The sequence below is a fragment of the Homo sapiens genome, chromosome 6 (genome assembly GCF_000001405.40).
Source record: "Homo sapiens chromosome 6, GRCh38.p14 Primary Assembly".
Taxonomy (NCBI): domain Eukaryota; kingdom Metazoa; phylum Chordata; class Mammalia; order Primates; family Hominidae; genus Homo; species Homo sapiens.
In genome coordinates this window covers 36,194,149-36,210,595 of record NC_000006.12, presented here as the reverse complement: position 1 = coordinate 36,210,595, position 16,447 = coordinate 36,194,149, and the positions used below count along the sequence as shown (strand labels likewise).

Sequence of the window (16,447 nt, the reverse complement as noted above, 5' to 3'; positions counted from 1 at the left end):
ACTCTGTAGACTCTGTTCCTGTGCCTCCTCCTGGCCCCTCTCCTCCCCACCCATCCAGGCCTCTCACCGTCTTCCCAGGAGAAGCGGTAAAAGTCTTCCAATTTGGGTGACTCGGGCAGGTGAGTGCCCCTCTCGGGGTCATAGCCGATGTTCTCTGCCTGCCGCCGGGCGTGCCGTAGGATGGCCCCTCCCAGGTCCCGCAGGCGGACAGCTGCTCGGTGGAAAATTGTGTCTTTAGCATTATACTTCATGCAGTTGGTAACTATAAGGTTAAAGTCCTCCTCAAACTCCTCCAAGGTGCGGTACAGGTGGGACTCCAGCTTCCGCCTCATAGTAGAAAAATCCATTGGCTTGGATATGAATTCCAGGTAATCTGGAACCTAAACATATAAAACCTGTACAATTACAACAACCATTTACTAGCCAAACAGACACACCCTTCACCAATACTCTTGGCCTCCTCAATTTCTGATTTGGCCATGCCAGGCTAACTCAAAGACCTACAGTCCTGGCCCACCCTGGCCTGCTGACCCCTCATCAAGGGCAAGTCTACTAGCTTTGCCAGACCCACCCTCCTACCCCTGGTTTTGTACACCCTGTGGCCCAACTCCTTCCTAGCCTACTCAGACCCTGTTCCAGTTCAAGAAGAATTTACTACTTGGAAAGTAGGGGGAACTTGCCTCACTCAAGTTGACTGGTTCTGCGAAGATGTGTGCAGGATCCTTCTCCTGCAGCAGGTCCAGTGTTGTCCTCAACAGAACATTGAATGGCATCAGCTCCAGCTCCATGGCAGCCTGCTGGACTTTGACCTGTGGGGAAGGTGGGGTGAGATCAGATCAGAACATCCCCTGCAAAGATGTACTGAAACTTTTTCTTGATAGTTTGACTTTTACCAATCTTGTACAACAAATTTTCATAGAATATTAAGCTGACCAGTATATGAGAAGCTATCACCCAACCTTTAGCCTAGGAATAATGACACCAACAGCTACTATTTTATTATTGTTTCCTATGTACCAAACATCATACTAAAATTTACAGTAACAATAATAATTATCATTACAATTATAATCATTAACACTTCTATAGCCCTTACTAAATGCCAGGTAATGTTCTAAGCATTTTATGTAAAATAAATGAGTATATGAGGTAGGAACAGATGAGGTATTTTACAAAGAGGAAACCAAGTAACTAAGGAACTAGGAGGAAACTAGAGGAAACTAAGTAACTGGCCTAAAGTCATAGCTAATAAGGAGCAGAGTTGGGATTCAGTCCCAGTGATTCTACAGTGAGTGCTCTTGGCCATTATGCCACACTAACTCTGTACTTGTATTACCTCAATTAATCATCACGATAACCCTGAAACAGAAATTATTATCCCCATTTTACAAATATGGATCAGAACAAGGATCACCAAGGACTAAAAGAAAAAAAATACAAATTAAAAAAATGTATATGGAATCTGAGGTTTAGAGACAGCATGATGAAGGAGTTACTAGTCTAAGGTCATCTGTCTAGAAAAGAATAGAGATAGGATTTGAACCCAGGTCTGACTTAGTCCAAGGGACACAATGATGATGTAAAATGTGCTTGAACCAGAATTTCCCAGTGTGCTGAGATACTGATTCCATCAGCCCTTGGAGCATCTGGGTCAGCATGGGGTCACCAGGGCCTCCAGGCTTGCCCCCGCAAGTGGCAAGTAGCTTCATATACTTACAGTAGTATGCTGTACAAATGCTATTTTCTACATATGCCCTAATGTGAAAAGTTGGGAAGCCACAAATTAAGACTATAGAAAATTTCCACCTTTTGGCTATATCAAAACAGGCCTGCCTACTTCCCCAGGACCAGGCCTTCTTCTCTCTCTCATTTCTCTGAACCAGAGATGAGATGAGAAGTTCAGCTGTGGGATCATGCCTGGGACAGCACAGACATTTTGAACCCTTGAAGAAGGTCCTGAGATGTCCTCCATGGCCATCCATGGTAAATATGGCATGAGCTGCCCAGGCTATGAGGAGGAAACTCAGGCTACTGGCCTGCTAGAAAAGGGGTTGTGCTAAGGCTGACCACTGAATTAGAATTTGGAGAAAGAGAAAGAAACATCTTTTTTTTTTCCCCTTTTTGTGGAGAACAGGTCTTGCTTTGTTGCCCTGGCTCATCTCAAACTCCTGGACTCAACCTATCCTCCTGCCTCTGCTTCCCTAAATGCAGGGATTACAGGCATGAGCCACTGTGCCCGGCAAGAAAGGAACATCTTTAACCCTGGCCTCTGAAGCATGTGAGTGACAGCTGCTATTCCTAGACCAGAGAGAACAGTTTTGGCTTTTCATCCACTTAATTAACAGTATTTGCTCTCTGCCATGTGCAGTAGACACTTCAGAGAAGCAAAGAGTATTGATAATAATAATAATGACAGCAGCTGACATTTCTCTGGCTGTTACTATGTGCCAGGCACTGTTCTAAGCTCTTTACATGATGAAGTCATCTAATCCTCAAAACAACCTTATGATGTAGGCTCTATAATTACCCCCATATTCCAGGTGAGAAAACCAATGTATTAAGCGATTAAAGAATTTGCTTAATGTCATACAGGTAGTCTGTAGAAGAGGCAGGATTTCAACCCAGGCAGTCTGGTGCCATAGCTCATGTTCCTAAACACTATGCTACACTACCTACCTCAACATTTCCTATGCTCAAGGGCTTAAAATCTCCTAGAACAGAGGAGAAACAGAAAATGTAAATGATTCAGGACCATAAGTGTTTAAGAGTCAAGTGGGAACCCTCAGAAGTTCCCAGGCCAGAGGCTTTCAACTGATGATGCCCATGAGAATGGTCTAAGAAGCTTTTCAAAATCCTCAAGGCCAGGCTCCCTCTGAGAGACTTCCTGAATCAGAAAATACAGGGACAGGCCCAGGCATATGATATTAAGCTTATGCTTGAGGCCACCAGGAGCTGAAATCCAAACTATAGAAACCATCAGTAGCACCACATCTAATACAAAGTAGGCAGATCTTGGAGCCTACAATCCTGGGTAGGGAGGGGAGAAAGAAACCTAGCATAAGGCAGGGGCTCCCAGATTTCCCAATACTAGACTAATAGTGGGAGAAAGTGGCCTTGAACTAGGGCCCTAGGGCTGGGGGCTCCTCCTTACCTGCTCTCGTTTGAGCTTCTCTCTCTTCCGAATCAGCTCAATCAGCAGCCGCGCCCGCTCCAAGTCATGCCGGAGCTTCTGCCAATACTTCAGCTCCTCCTTCACTGCACTTGTCTTCTCATCCTGCTCTCGCTACAGGAGGGAAGAGAAGAGGGACTAGGAACCTCCTTCTTGCAAAAGTCCTCTCCCTGTTCAAGCCTCACGGGGCTGCAGCAGGTAAAAGTCTTGTCCCCTTCCTTGACCCACAGTTCCAAGAGCCCTTCCACCCCTCTCTACCCCATGCCTTCCTCCTGAGCTGCCCCAGTATTACAGCACTGTTTCTTCATTATAAAGCAATAACCTTTGCTGGAGTAGGATCTGGGACTGCTTCCCCCTATCCCCAGGTATGCCAGAGAGCAGCTATGGCCCTCTGGGTCAGAAAGAATTTCATAAGAAAACTGACCTCAGGGGTGAAAAGAATTTCACCCTAGAGCTTTCACTTGGCTAGAAAACAAAGCAAGGTTCTTACTATAAGCCTGAATATACTCTGGTAAAACAACAACAAACAAATCACGATTCCTGCCCTAGAAAAAATTACAGTTGGAGTCAGGGGAAGGGAAGAGACCTAGAGCTTGAAGCACAAGGGCATATTAGCATAAAGATAATACAAACTAATAATATAAACTGGAAATAAAATGCTAAGAGGATACAAAATAGAAGATCTGAGTAGGTGGAGGTTAGATCAGAGAAGCTTCCTGGTGAAGACTCTTACTAGAGTTTAACATACAGGTAGGTGACAGACATGGATGGGCAAAGTAGTAAGGAAGGTCTCTTCTGGAACCAAAGGGATGAAAGGGGCAGAAATATAGAGGCAGAATTAGTGATTCTTTGCTTAGTAAGTGAAACAGGCTGGCCAGAACAGAGATGCTGGAGAACTATAAAAGCCAAGGAAGATCCAGGATACAGCTAATAAGAAGCTTCAAATGTAAGGCAAAAGAGCCTTAACTTCGCCTGCCTAGAAAGAGGAGTATATTCTGGAAGAGGAAGTAAGAGAATGGAAGAGCAGGACATTGCTCACCTAGGCCTTGCTCCTCTCCACAGTCAGACATTCCTGCCCCAAAGCCAAGCTTATAAAATCAAGAACTAGGCCTTTCCCCAAAGGACAGATCCCCACCAATGTCCATGCCAAGCACACCTGCCCAGATGTAGGCAGCACCCTCCCTCTACAACCTCTTGGCCATGGAGGATCCCAACAGCATGTGAATAAGAAACTACCAGTTGAAGATCAAAGAAAGAATTAGAGGCTGGAGATCACCTAGAAAGCTATTGCTGAGATTAAGAGGGCATGGATGAGCAGGAGAGCTGCAGAATGAAGACAAAAACCCATGTTGATAAAGCCCCCAAAGCAGCTTAAAGGATGATTAAAAATGGCCCTTAGGGAGTAAAGAGTCAAAAGTAACTCCAAGGTGGGGAACTTTTGATATGAGTCCAGGAGGGAGGGGAGAGCCATAATGATGGGGAAATAAGTTTACTGAGAGGAAAAAAGATAATTAATTTCCAATATTTGAGTTACAAATTAACAACATCCACATGGAAACATCCCTGAGGGACTGATGGCAGAAAAAAGGGATGAGGACAAGACAAAAAGTCTGGAGCTGCTATTACAGTTATTGTCAATTATGAGATTGGACATGTTCTCCAAGCAAACGAGCAGATAGCAGAGCCACTGGGAATGTTACCATTAAAGAGCAAGAAGTGGGATCAGCATAGGGTACAGTCAGAGAGGTAGAAGCAGCCGGAAGTGGTATCACAGAGAAGCTCTTAGACAAAGTCATTTGTGGTGTCAAATGCAGCCCAATGATCAATCAGGTGAGAATATAAGGAAAGACTTCCTGGGAGAAGGTAGCTGATGTTTTAGGGGAGGCTTCAGTGGAGCAGGTGGACCAAAAGGTTCAAGGCGGGCCAGATACAGGCTTATACTTCAGGAGTTTAGTTATAAAAGGCAAAAGTGAGATCAGACAGAATGCAGAAGGCACCAGACTCACATAAAGCTTTGCTTCATCTCTGGAGCAGCAGTGTGGGAACACTTAAAGACAGAAAGAATAGAACAGGTAAAGGGGGAGAAAGAACTAAAGAGTTAAAATAAGAGAAATTAGGAGCAGAAAACATTAAACATGCAGCAACTCCAGTTGCTAATGGCTAACAGCCACCACAATTGGACAGGCTGTGTGCTACAACTTAGATCGTAAATTTGTGTATTTACTATGAAACATTTTTTGGCAGATGGCAGTATAATGTCTTGAGGAAAGGGCACCTTTTCCTAATTAACACAATGTGGCCACCCTGGCTCTCATTCAGCCTACTTCTGGCTTTCTGCTACATCTAGAGGATTTTCCCCACATATATGGAAAGCTACGCATGCTCTCCACTCTCCCCTAGAATTCTCTACAAAGTCAAGCCTCATCCATCCAGAAGGAGCTGCTTGAAGATCTCTGTAGTGCTGGGGGTTGTTCCTGGGATAGGCCACCCAGACAGGTAGGCAAAGGCTCCATGGAGGGATCAAGAAGGGGTGCCAGCCCCACCCCAACCATCATTCCTTTTCCTTCACTCTCCACCTCCCTCTACCAGCCTCAAATCACCACTGCACCTACCTGCTCAGCGTTTCTTTGGGACTGCAGATGGGAGTGCAAGCGCCGGATAAGAGGGACACCATTCCGTGCCTGCCGCTTCAACAGCCAATAATTGTGAAGCCGCTGCATAAACTGGTTTTTCCTCTGAAAGGAGAGACCACTACAGATCTTGTTCAACCTTGAGTAGAGGCACACGGAAGTGAAAGACAAGGTCAGTGGGCAGCCCAGATTACAGCCTGTGCATCCTATCCAGACCTGGTTCATTTCTGAACCTTATACAGGAAGACAGAATAAAATGGCCAAATACCTCACCTCAGAGAAAGGCTTGAAAAGGACAGTAAAGTTAAGCAGCTCAGATTCAGCATGAGTTATTTCATTTGCTTTTCCACCTCTTGCCTTGCAGTCCTAATCCTCCAAAAGAACCATCTCCCAGAGTCCCGTTTCCTATGGTCCTGGACTTCCTTGTTCCACGTACGGACTGAAAAACAAGCCTATGCCTCAATACCCCCAGCCTCCTCTTATAAAAGCAGCGAAAGGGAACAGGAACTGGGGTAAGCTATGGTTAATGTGGCCACTATTTCCTGCCTTCTGCGGCTGAGAGTCCCATCAAACCAGGGGGTAGCCCACAACCAGGCTGAGCCCAATGCAACCCCTTAGACTTGTTTGACGTCTGGTTTTTCATGGTATAAACCTCAACAGCCTAAAAATGTTGTTTAATTTTGAACCAAATGAAAAAAAAAATTGGATCTAAAGATGTAAGAGGATGGGAAATGTGAAAACCCAGCTGGCTAAACTACTCAAAAGTCTTAAGGTCAGGGTTTAAGCCAGTAACTCCTTGGGGGAGGAAAAGGGGTAGGAGAGGAACTAATGCAAGCCTATAATATCTGTCTTTAATATCCATATTGCAAGGTGGGTATCATTATTTCCATTTTACAAAAGATGGAAAGGCAGCATAGGAACAGAAGCTGAATAAACTGTCAAAGTAACTAATACAGCTAATAAGATGGTGGATCCAGGTTGGATTTGAATCCACGATCTCTCTGCTATACCATGGTACATCCCCAGACTGGTTATCCACAGGGTAAGCAAGGCCTCAGTGCTCTTGTGGTGTTTCCTCTCCTTTTTCTCTTCATGCCACTCCATTGAAACAAAGATAAGCACAGCTAAACAAGTTGAAACCTTAGAAGGATGGGCATGTTGGGCAGGACGTTGCTCACCTAGGCCTTGCTCCTCTCCACAGTCAGACATTCCTGCCCCAAAGCCAAGCTTATAAAATCAAGAACTAGGCCTCTCCCCAAAGGACAGATCCCGACCAATGTCCATGCCAAGCACACCTGCCCAGATGTAGGCAGCACCCTCCCTCTACCTCTTGGCCATGGAGGATCCCAACAGCATTTGTGCAGGTAGGGAAAAGAACAGCAATAATAAAATAGCAGCAGCAGCAGTAGTCACCATTTATTGAGCACTTACTATTTGCCAGACACTGTGCTAAGTGCTTTACTTATATTATCTCATTTATTTCTCACAACAACTCTATGTGGTGGGTTCATTTACAAATAAACTAAGGCTTAGAGCAGCTAAGCAACTTGCCAAAAGTCACAAAGGTACTAAGTCACAGAATTGGGTTTCAAATGTAGGTTTGTCTGGTTCTTAGCCAGCAAGCTCTGCTGGCCCCAGCAAGAGGCATCTAGAACAACATATATGTCAACCAAAGATTCTAGCCTCAGGGTAAAACCACCCTACAGATGGGAACTAAGCATCCACCCACTTACCTCAGGAAAAAGAATAACCTAGAACAGCTCTGTGACTAGAAAACACATACAGAGTCACTGAAATTCTAACTTGGGTAATAACTGGCAATAAGAGCCTCCCCCTTCTGATCTCACACTTATGTCTTCTTCCCAGCCTGGCAAGTCTGGTTGCCTATTCATAGCTCTCACACAACTCTTTCCCCAGCACTCCTTTCTCTCTACCCTTCTCATCAAGAGAGACGGACTACAGGAATGCAACCTAGAGGCATCATGAGCCCCAGCTCTTGTGGTATAGGGTCTGTCACTTTCCACCTGGTTCCATCCCTTAGAACAGGACATGGCATGTATTAAGTGCTCAATAAATATATCATTGAATGAATAAAGGAGTGAACAACTTTACCTCCCTTGGCCGCAGTTTCTTCATCTGGGGGTGTGGGAGAAGGTGCAAGGACTACATCAGATGAACAGTCTCCAAGACTCCTTCCTGCTCTAACAGTGTATACTGTTTAATGAACACCACCCCTGAGATGAGTCTCTGCTAGGAAATCTTCCCTATCTCTTGCTTCTCTGCCAAGCTCCCATCCCTCCAATGGTTCCAGGTACCTCTCTGATGTTTTAAAACAGGTACCATGGGCTCTCTACAGACTCAATGGCGGGGGCGGAGGGGGGGGGGGTCCACAGAGCTTAGCTACACAGCTGAACTGAATGATCCTCTTATCCCTAAATCTAAAGCTTCAAGAGGAGGAATAGCATGTTCTCTCCACACCACCACCCCCCTCATACCCAGGACAGAACTTGCTGGACAGCAGATGGCCATGCCGATCCTCTGAAACAGTGGTTCTTCACTGGGTAATTAGTTCTACCCTCCCCAAGGGTTTTTGAAAACATGCATGAGGAGGGTTTGAGTTTGTCACAAAGACCAGGCAATGGGGGAGGGGATGCGACTGGCATTTACAAAGACCAGGGATACTAAACATCTAGAAATGTACAGGACACTTCTAATAACGAAGAATTATCCTGTCCAAAATGTCACTTAGTGCCCCTATTGAAAAATACTGTCTTAGATATCCTATCACCTGAGTTTCTAAGTAACTTAAGTGTTTTATTTCACTTTGAACTAAAGGAAATACATTACTCTGAGGGCAAAATCAAAACCACAAACCAGGCCAGGTGAGCCTGGGGTCAAAAGGAAGAGTTTAAATTCGGGGAGGAGGATATAGTGTCCAACTGTGTTTAGCGAAGGCCTGGCACAGGGCCAACACCAACCCAAGAAGAAACCATGAGTCCCTAAGGAGCCCTTCTGGGCATGCTTACCTGTAAGAGGGTATCTGTGGGACAGCAAGCATGGGGAGAGTGGAGGGTGTGTCTTGGCCTGCTTCCTCTGGCTCCTTCTTGATCTTCTGCTTCAAACTCATCTTGCTTTTCTTGGGCACTCCCTTGAGGGAGCCACTCACCCCGCCTTGAGCTTCCTGCTCTTCTTCCTCCACCTCTTCCTCTTCTTCCTCCTCTCCATCACCCTCCTTCAGCCCTTCCTCATCGCCAGTCTCACTGATGCTTCTAGGGGAGTCGCCCTTCCTCCTAGCAGTGGCCGCACCTGGTGGCGAGTGGGCCTCACAGTAGGCAGTCTTGCGCACTGTAAAGATGGTGCCATTGAGGCTGGTTTCGCGCATGGGCTCAATCTTCATGAAGAGCCCAGCCCGCTGTGCACATGTCACATGGAATGCTGTGTAGCAGTTCACCTTATGGCACTGGATGGCTGCACCTAGCCCTTTCTGCTTGCAGATATAGCAGGTTAGTTTCCAGCGGGCAGGCGGGATATTGTCAATGCCCTCAATAGGTTCCAAGAACACGGTGTTAGCAAAGCAGACTTCAGGGATCCAGATGGCACACACCACATGGGCCCAGTGCCCATCACTGGTCTGTTTGAAGGCGCCACCCTTATTGGGGCAAAGGATGCAATCCACAGGCCGGGAGGGAGACTGCAGGCAGCAGCGGCATAGCCACTGGCCCTCAGGGATGTATGGGACGCCATAGCACTCCTGGTGTACAGCCAGGTTGCAGATGTCACAGAAGAGAATAACATTGCTATTGTGACATTCATCATCCAGGCACACACAGCAGAAAGCGTCTTCATCGATGAGTGACTGTTGGGCCCCACTGCTGCGACTCTCCAAGTATGACTCTTTCTCAAGCCGGTCTACCAGCAGCTCAAAGGTATCTGCAGACACCAAACTGTGCCCATCTACTCGCCGTTTTTCATTCACCATGTCCAGCCAGGCAAGGTCCTCCTCATCCATGTCATACTCTACCTCTGCATCCAGGTCTTCAGGTGGCTTCTCAATGTAGCGGTAGTAGGCAGCAGGCAGCGGGGGTGCTTCTGGCTGGATGCCTGAGTCCACCATACGGAAGCTGGGCTGTGGGAGGTGGAAGGAAGTACCAGATGCATGCTTGGAGCAGGATTCCTTCTTTTTGCCCTTGGATGAGGGTTTCTTGGACTTGCCAGGGAACTGAGGCTGTTCACTGTTTTCCTTGTTACTATTGCATTCGGTGATATCCTGGGCAGTTAGCTCATCTTCAGTAATGATTTTGAGTGGGTCATAGATGCTGATACGATGCAGGCGTCCATCAATGTCTACCTCGACAATCCGCTGGGCCTGGGCATATGTCAGGGTCTCCCGGGTGGGTGAGCACTTGAGACTGTAGGGGGACGGGGAACGCCGGCCCTCGGCATTCTGCCGGGACTTCCGACGAGGCTTCCTCATGGCACCTGGGAACTGAGGGGACAGGCCTAAGGAGAGAAGGCCAGGAGACTATGAGTTGGATGCCCTTATGCACCCATTCATCCTCCCATATGATCAAGCATCCACCAAGAGGACTGGCTTTTCCCTCTGTCTGAACAACTTGCCCCTCAGGCATCCACATGGCTTGCTCCTTCACTTCCTTTGAGTCTTTCATTTCTTCAAGTGAACAACACTTCTCAGTGAGACCTTCTCTGACCACTTTATCTAAAATTGCAAATCCTTTTCCTCCACCAGCAATCTACCTTTCATTCTGCTTTATTTTTCCCTTTAACATTCATCATCTTATACCATGCTACATAATTTACCTACTACTATGTTTATTGTTTCCTTCCTTCCACTAGAATATAAGCTCCATGAGGGGAAGAATTTTTGTTTGTCTTGTTCACTGCTGCATCCCCAGTTCCTGGAGCAGTGCTTAGCTCCTAAGTAACCACTCAATAAGTATTAGTTGAATGAAAGAAGAAATCAAACACACATGATCCCTGCCCTCAAGGAGCCCTGTCTAACTCAAAAGACAGAAAAGTAAACAGATTATTACAGTGTAACATGGGGAAAGATCTAATGTTCTAATGATGTACATAAAGCTGGGCGACAGCTAACTATGGAAAACACATGTAGTTAACGGTTTAGAAAAGAAAACAAGAAAAGCATCCACTGTCAAGCTCTGTACGTGAACAATGGGCCCCATCAGAGGATCAAAAGTCACTAGAGTCTTCTCCCAATACCTCTTACCACGATCAGAAACCCTACTCCTTGACCCTGCCTAGAGGTGAAGGGGTGAAGGCATCTGAAATATCTATGATACATGGTCTAAGGGCTTCAAACTACAGTATGCAGGGTATTCCCTACAAAAGACACCATCCAGGACAGCAGTCCCCAGCCTTTTTGGCACCAGGGACTGGTTTCGTGGAAGACAATTTTTCCACAGATGAGGGTGGGTGGTGAACACTGTTCCACCTCAGATCATCAGGCATTAGTCAGATTCTCATAAGGAGCATGCAACCTAGATCCCTCACATGCGCAGTTCACAGTAGGGTTCGCGCTCCTATGAGAATCCAAAGCAGCCGCTGATCTGACAGGAGGCAGAGCTCAGGTGGTAATGCTCGCTTGCCCGCCACTCACCTCTTGCTGTATGGCCTGGTTCTTAACAGGCCACAGTCTGCGGCCTGGGGGTTGGGAACCCCTGATCCAGGATACACCAACTAGTACATTTCCAGGCAGAAACAAACCCTAGAAGCTCTGAGAGTGGCTCCAAGAGATCTCTGAAGTTATAGTGGCCTGTCTAGGACCTTCATTCGACCGAAGGCCAAGATGATCTGGGCAGTATCTGAGGTAAACTCTCAATGCATTCTGTTACCTCAAAAGTCTCTCCCAGAACACTCATATCTAGTCTATCCTTGTACAGCCAAGAGAAAGTCCTAGTTTCCCCCATCATTCTCTGGATGACAAGCTCATAAGGAGCTGCGGTAGGCAGTTACCAAGGCTGTCACCACCAGGAGAGACCTTTGGGGATACAGGGCCCCATGGTGTGGGCAGACTTGGAAGGATATGAACAAAGAGAAGATTTCAAAGAGAAAAACAATTCATCGCCTTGGTTGCAGGGTCTACCATCTATATAAAGTAGAGACGGTGATAATAAAAGCACTTTTTCCAAACTACAAAGCCCTCTTACTTTTAATATTTCTCACAACTACCTTAGGAGATGGTGTAGCTATTATCATCTACACAGAAGCTCAGAAAGATGTCACTCAACGTAAAGCTAGTAAGTGATAACGCTACAATTTGAACCCAGGTCTTCCGATGCTCAATTCCTCTCAGTGGGAATTAAGAACACCACAGAGGTGCTATGGTCTGGTACAAAACGAGGCTCTGGGGCAATCTAGGTTCTAATCTTGGCCCTCTGTGACCTAGAGAAAGTCCCTTAAGCTCTCTATGCCTCCATACTCCATCAGTAAAATGAGGGTAACACAATCTAGCTCTCTAGGTGCTACTTGTTAATAAGGTATTATTAACATCTTTACTTGAAAGGCCTTCCAATCCCAAAGTGTGACTGAAACAAACAAAAAACCAATTTGGCTGAGGAGCAGTGCCAGGCGGGCTGGCACACACCCCATTTGGAGCCAAAGGAAACAGAATCATCGCAGCAATTCTGTCCGGGTTCCAGAGGCCCTTGGCTACTGGATTCCTTACAAATGCCAAGTCCCTGGGGGCAGACAGGGCCAACAGACCTGCTTCATCACCCACCCCTCCAAAGGCACCGAGGCCCTAGAAGAGGTGAGAACATCTGCCTCCACACCGACCCCAAACAGCGCAGACAGGCGGTGCGGCGCCCACTTTCATGAAAGCCGCTCCATCTTCTCCTTCCCCACCTGCCACCTCCTCGGCTGCTCAAGCATCTCTCGACCATGCAAGACTCTACACAGACGTGTTTTGTCCCACCCACGCCTCCAGACACCGGGGAGAAACTCTAGAGGGGGAAGGGACTGCTGATGAGGGAAATGAAAAGAGTTTCGCCCACAAGGAGCTTACAGTCTAGACGAGTTTTTTGGCGGGAGTTTCTCAACCTACACAGCCCTTCCCACATACACACCTCCAAAATATCTCCAACAACCCCCGCCCCCCCAGATTTCCCCTCGGCACCCCCTGACCCCTCGCTCACCCACCCCATCCAGGTCCCCGAAGAATGAGGAGCTTCTGCAATTAGACTGTATCCCCTGCACCTCACACAAGATACTCAGGAGACAAGGAGGACCCCAGCCAAGGCTCCTGCTCCTTTAAGGGGGCACCTCTTCCAGAAGAATCTTGACCCCTCGGAGAAGAAAGGAGGGAAATAACATCTCCTCAGAGGGGAGGGGCGAGCGCACCAGAGACAGCCTGACGTGGAGTCCGACCCTCAGACAGAGAAAGCGAGCGCCAGCGAATGAGCGGGGCGGAGAGGCGAGAACCCATTGGCTGCGTCACCTGCCCGTCAGAGGGACCCAGGGGACCTAGGGCCGCTCAAGGGGCGGGACTCTCGTCTGGCCAGGCCAATTGGAAGGCGTGGCGGGGGCGGGGCTTAGCGGCTCGGAATCCAGGGCTGGGGGGGGAGACAAGATGGCGGCTGCGGGAGGGGGTCCTCGCTTCTCAGCTCCCCCGCTCACCCGCCTTCTCCTTCCCTGCCGCCGCCCTCGCTCCAGGAGAGAGCTTTCGCACCGCCCCCGCCCTGCTCGGAAAGCCCCCCGCTTCTCCGGTTTCCCCCCGTGCAGTCCCTGGTCCCCGAAGGCCCCGATGCCCCCGCCCCCGCTCTGTCCGGCCCCGCTGCCGCCCCCATTACCTCAGCCGCCTGCCCGGCCCCACCGTTCGGGGCCCCTGGGCGCGGGCGGGCAGGCCGCCGAGCAGGTCGGCGCGGCCCGGGAAGCGGAGCGCGGTCTTCTCCCGCGCCTGCCTCCGTGGCCTCCGCCGTGCCCCCTCCCGGCCCGCGCTGGGGCCCCGGCCCGGCCGCCGCCGCCGCTCCCGGGGGAGGAGGGGGAATGGAGCCGCCGCTGCTGCCGCTGCCGCCACGGAGCCCGGCCGAGGGGAGGGAGGGATCAGCCCCCAGGCAGGATCCGCCCCTCCGGCCTCCCCCCGCCACCTCCACCCCTTCCCTCGCTCCCTCCCTGACTCTGCGGGCTCTCCCGCTGAACAGGAGCGAGAGCGCGAAAGAGGGGGAAACGGGAAAAAAATCCCCCCGCCCGTGCCTGGCGCGGCGGCGGCCGGGGCGGTGCGGAGAGGAGCGCGGAGGCGCCGCCGCCGCCGCCACGGGGCACCATCCCCGGCTCGGCCTCACGGTGGCGGTGCGGGCGCGGCGGGGACACCGAGCAAGAGACCGGGTCTGCGCCCGCCGCGATCCCTGCGCACCACGGCCCTGCCCGCCACGGGGCGAGCCCGATAAGAGGGCTGTGGACGTTCGGGTCTAGTTGGGAGAGACAGGGGTCCCTGACTCTTGAGCGGTCAGTCATTTCCTCCCCAGTCCTTGTGGGTGACGTGGCTACGGTTTGGAGCAGCAAGCCCCCTCCCCGAACTAAAGGGCCTCTCCAAAGGTTAAGCCAGGGCAGTCATTGAGGTCAAAACCAATATGTAGTTTCTTGACTGCAGGTGCCTGCACGACTCCCAGAAAGTCGCGTCTCCCCTAACCCCCATGCCCAGGACCTGAGGACAAAGGTCTAGCGATTGTCCATCCCCTCCCCCAGTGAGGACAGCCGGGAAAGACCTGCCTTTGTTGTGTACAGGTGAGCGTCTTGTTCCGCACCACACATCTTTTAAAAAAAAAAAAAAAAAATCTGACTTTCCGTTTAAAAGGAGTAAACAAAAGTTTGACAGTCTGCTTAAGCATGCCTGGTAACTCGTCTGTCACTGTGGGCATGGGAAACACTTTAAACCTGACTTGGTTAATTTAATGCATTAGGCGGCTTTCTAAAAGATGCTTGACAAATGGCAGCATCAGACCAAACTGGCTTTTGTTTTGATCTAAAAAAACAAAAAAATAAAGAAAAGGGCTCCATTGCCACCCCCTTTTGCCTGTAAACTGGAAAGCTTACCTCATGTGACTGAAGTCTTAAGCACCAATACATAATGATGTTTATAAAGGACGTATGGATAAGCTGCCTGTAAATGTGAAGGTGAGTGACAGTTTGAAAGTGTTTCCTCTGCTGGCACTTGTGGTGTAGCTGGTGAGACTCAATTTCTTTCTTGGTTCTGATGATCAAGGACATGTATTCTAGAGTCAGAAGGATGAAGGATAAAGTCTTAGGATCCAAATTTTCTGAATGTTTAAAGTGAACATACTGCTACTTTGGAAGTATAGATGTTATACTAAGGAATTTAAATATAGAGAGTTTCAAATTCAAAAGTTTGATTAAGGAAGCTAATTTGTTTCCAAGTAAATAGCATCTTCTGGCAAAGAGATAGTACAAAAATGCTTCTGTTAACCAATTTTTTAAATGCAAGGGGGGTGGCTCGTGGAGCTAAGCAAGGGCAGGACAATGTTTTGAAAGCTGTGAAGATGAAATAGTATGAATTAATGTCAAGTGTTCTGAAGCTAGGGGGAATAATCATTTGGAGGGAAGGTGTGGAAGAAAAAGATGATTAATTGTGGAAGAGAAAGCCCCAGAGGCAAGAAAATATTGCAATTACAGTACTTGTAGTTAAGAAAAAAAAAGTCTGAAAACTAACAGAAACTATTAAAACATGAAATATAATAATCATTTATACATATGACTAGTAACTTTTATTTCTTGATGGATGTTCTCAAAATTTATTTAGCACAATTCCCATTTGCGTGATCAGGAGCTATCTTTTTCCACTAAAATGAATGAATAAATACCTTGAGAAAATGCATTGGTTTCTACTTGTAAGTCAACGATTTAAATGCTGTTGAAAAGGCCTTAAGTCAACCTAATGCATGTGATTTTTTTCAGGTTTTTCTATTCAAAGCTTTCATATTAAGACCTTATTCAACCTAAGTGTTTCTCTTCCATTTTCAACTTCTACTTTTTTAATGATATCATTACAGTTGCCCTCACTTTAATTTTTGACATTTGGAATTGGTTTCTACAAGCATAACTGCACACGTAACCAGTTCCCTGTGATGGAATCTTAAATGTAACATGGAACAATTATGTTATTAAAAACAAATTTGGAACATATATCAAAAATCTCAGAGGCACTAAATTTAATTCACTTTAATCGTTTGCTATTTTAAACGGTTTAAATTCACCACCCCTGGCCTTTCCAATAAACCATACAGCAATTAAATTCAACAAACAGAGGCATGGATCTTTGATTCCAAATAGTTGTTTTTAAGAACCTTCCAGCTGTAAGTAGAAACCAACTTATTTGGGATAGGAGAAGGTTTTACCATTTAAAACTAAAAGAAACATGAATACAAAAAAAAATCACCATTTCCCCACCTCTTTCTTTCATACTTCCCCATCATACTTTTTTTCAGCATCTCAGGATATCTTTGTTAATGCTTCACTATTGTCATTAGTTTATCAGGCCAAGAAACCTCTCAGGGGTCAGACGCAGTACCCACTGGATTAATAACGTGGATGATAAGGAAAAAAATAGGCCTTGATTGATTGTTAAATTATTTTTAATAGAATATTCCTTCCTTAG

The 16,447-nt window shown here is 47.5% G+C and overlaps 1 protein-coding gene and 1 long non-coding RNA gene across 9 annotated transcripts in view, besides 2 other annotated features; one reads left to right on the top strand and one right to left on the bottom strand.

The window, feature by feature from the left end:
• BRPF3 (bromodomain and PHD finger containing 3) overlaps nucleotides 1-13,852 on the bottom strand; it is a 36,047-nt gene extending 22,195 nt beyond the window's left edge. For 5 of the 7 annotated variants that reach the window (XM_011514490.2, XM_047418649.1, XM_011514491.2 and 2 more), the window contains exons 1-6: nucleotides 13,177-13,211; nucleotides 8,826-10,299; nucleotides 5,782-5,938; nucleotides 3,152-3,283; nucleotides 681-809; nucleotides 68-380 (exon numbers count right to left, since the gene is read on the bottom strand). In XM_011514490.2, coding sequence (XP_011512792.1) covers nucleotides 68-380; nucleotides 681-809; nucleotides 3,152-3,283; nucleotides 5,782-5,938; nucleotides 8,826-10,273 — 2,179 coding nt within the window. In that variant the 5' untranslated portion in view covers nucleotides 10,274-10,299; nucleotides 13,177-13,211. Of the gene's footprint in view, nucleotides 1-67; nucleotides 396-680; nucleotides 810-3,151; nucleotides 3,284-5,781; nucleotides 5,939-8,825; nucleotides 10,300-13,176; nucleotides 13,212-13,625 lie in introns of those variants that run through there. The other 2 variants (NM_015695.3, XM_047418651.1) reach the window with 2 other exon arrangements.
• Nucleotides 13,098-13,147: an enhancer, noted in NCBI's record as "active region_24421". NCBI's record gives its function as "activates an Ori minimal core promoter by ATAC-STARR-seq in GM12878 lymphoblastoid cells {active_cell/tissue: GM12878}" and the evidence as "EXISTENCE:reporter gene assay evidence [ECO:0000049][PMID:35858748]".
• The window catches only part of BRPF3-AS1 (BRPF3 antisense RNA 1), a 50,512-nt gene continuing 47,457 nt past the window's right edge, over nucleotides 13,393-16,447 (top strand). For both annotated transcript variants that reach the window (NR_187147.1, NR_187146.1), the window contains exon 1: nucleotides 13,393-14,559. This is a non-coding gene — a long non-coding RNA (BRPF3 antisense RNA 1). The remainder of the gene's footprint in view (nucleotides 14,560-16,447) is intronic.
• Nucleotides 13,498-14,237: a silencer, noted in NCBI's record as "silent region_17110". NCBI's record gives its function as "represses an Ori minimal core promoter by ATAC-STARR-seq in GM12878 lymphoblastoid cells {active_cell/tissue: GM12878}" and the evidence as "EXISTENCE:reporter gene assay evidence [ECO:0000049][PMID:35858748]".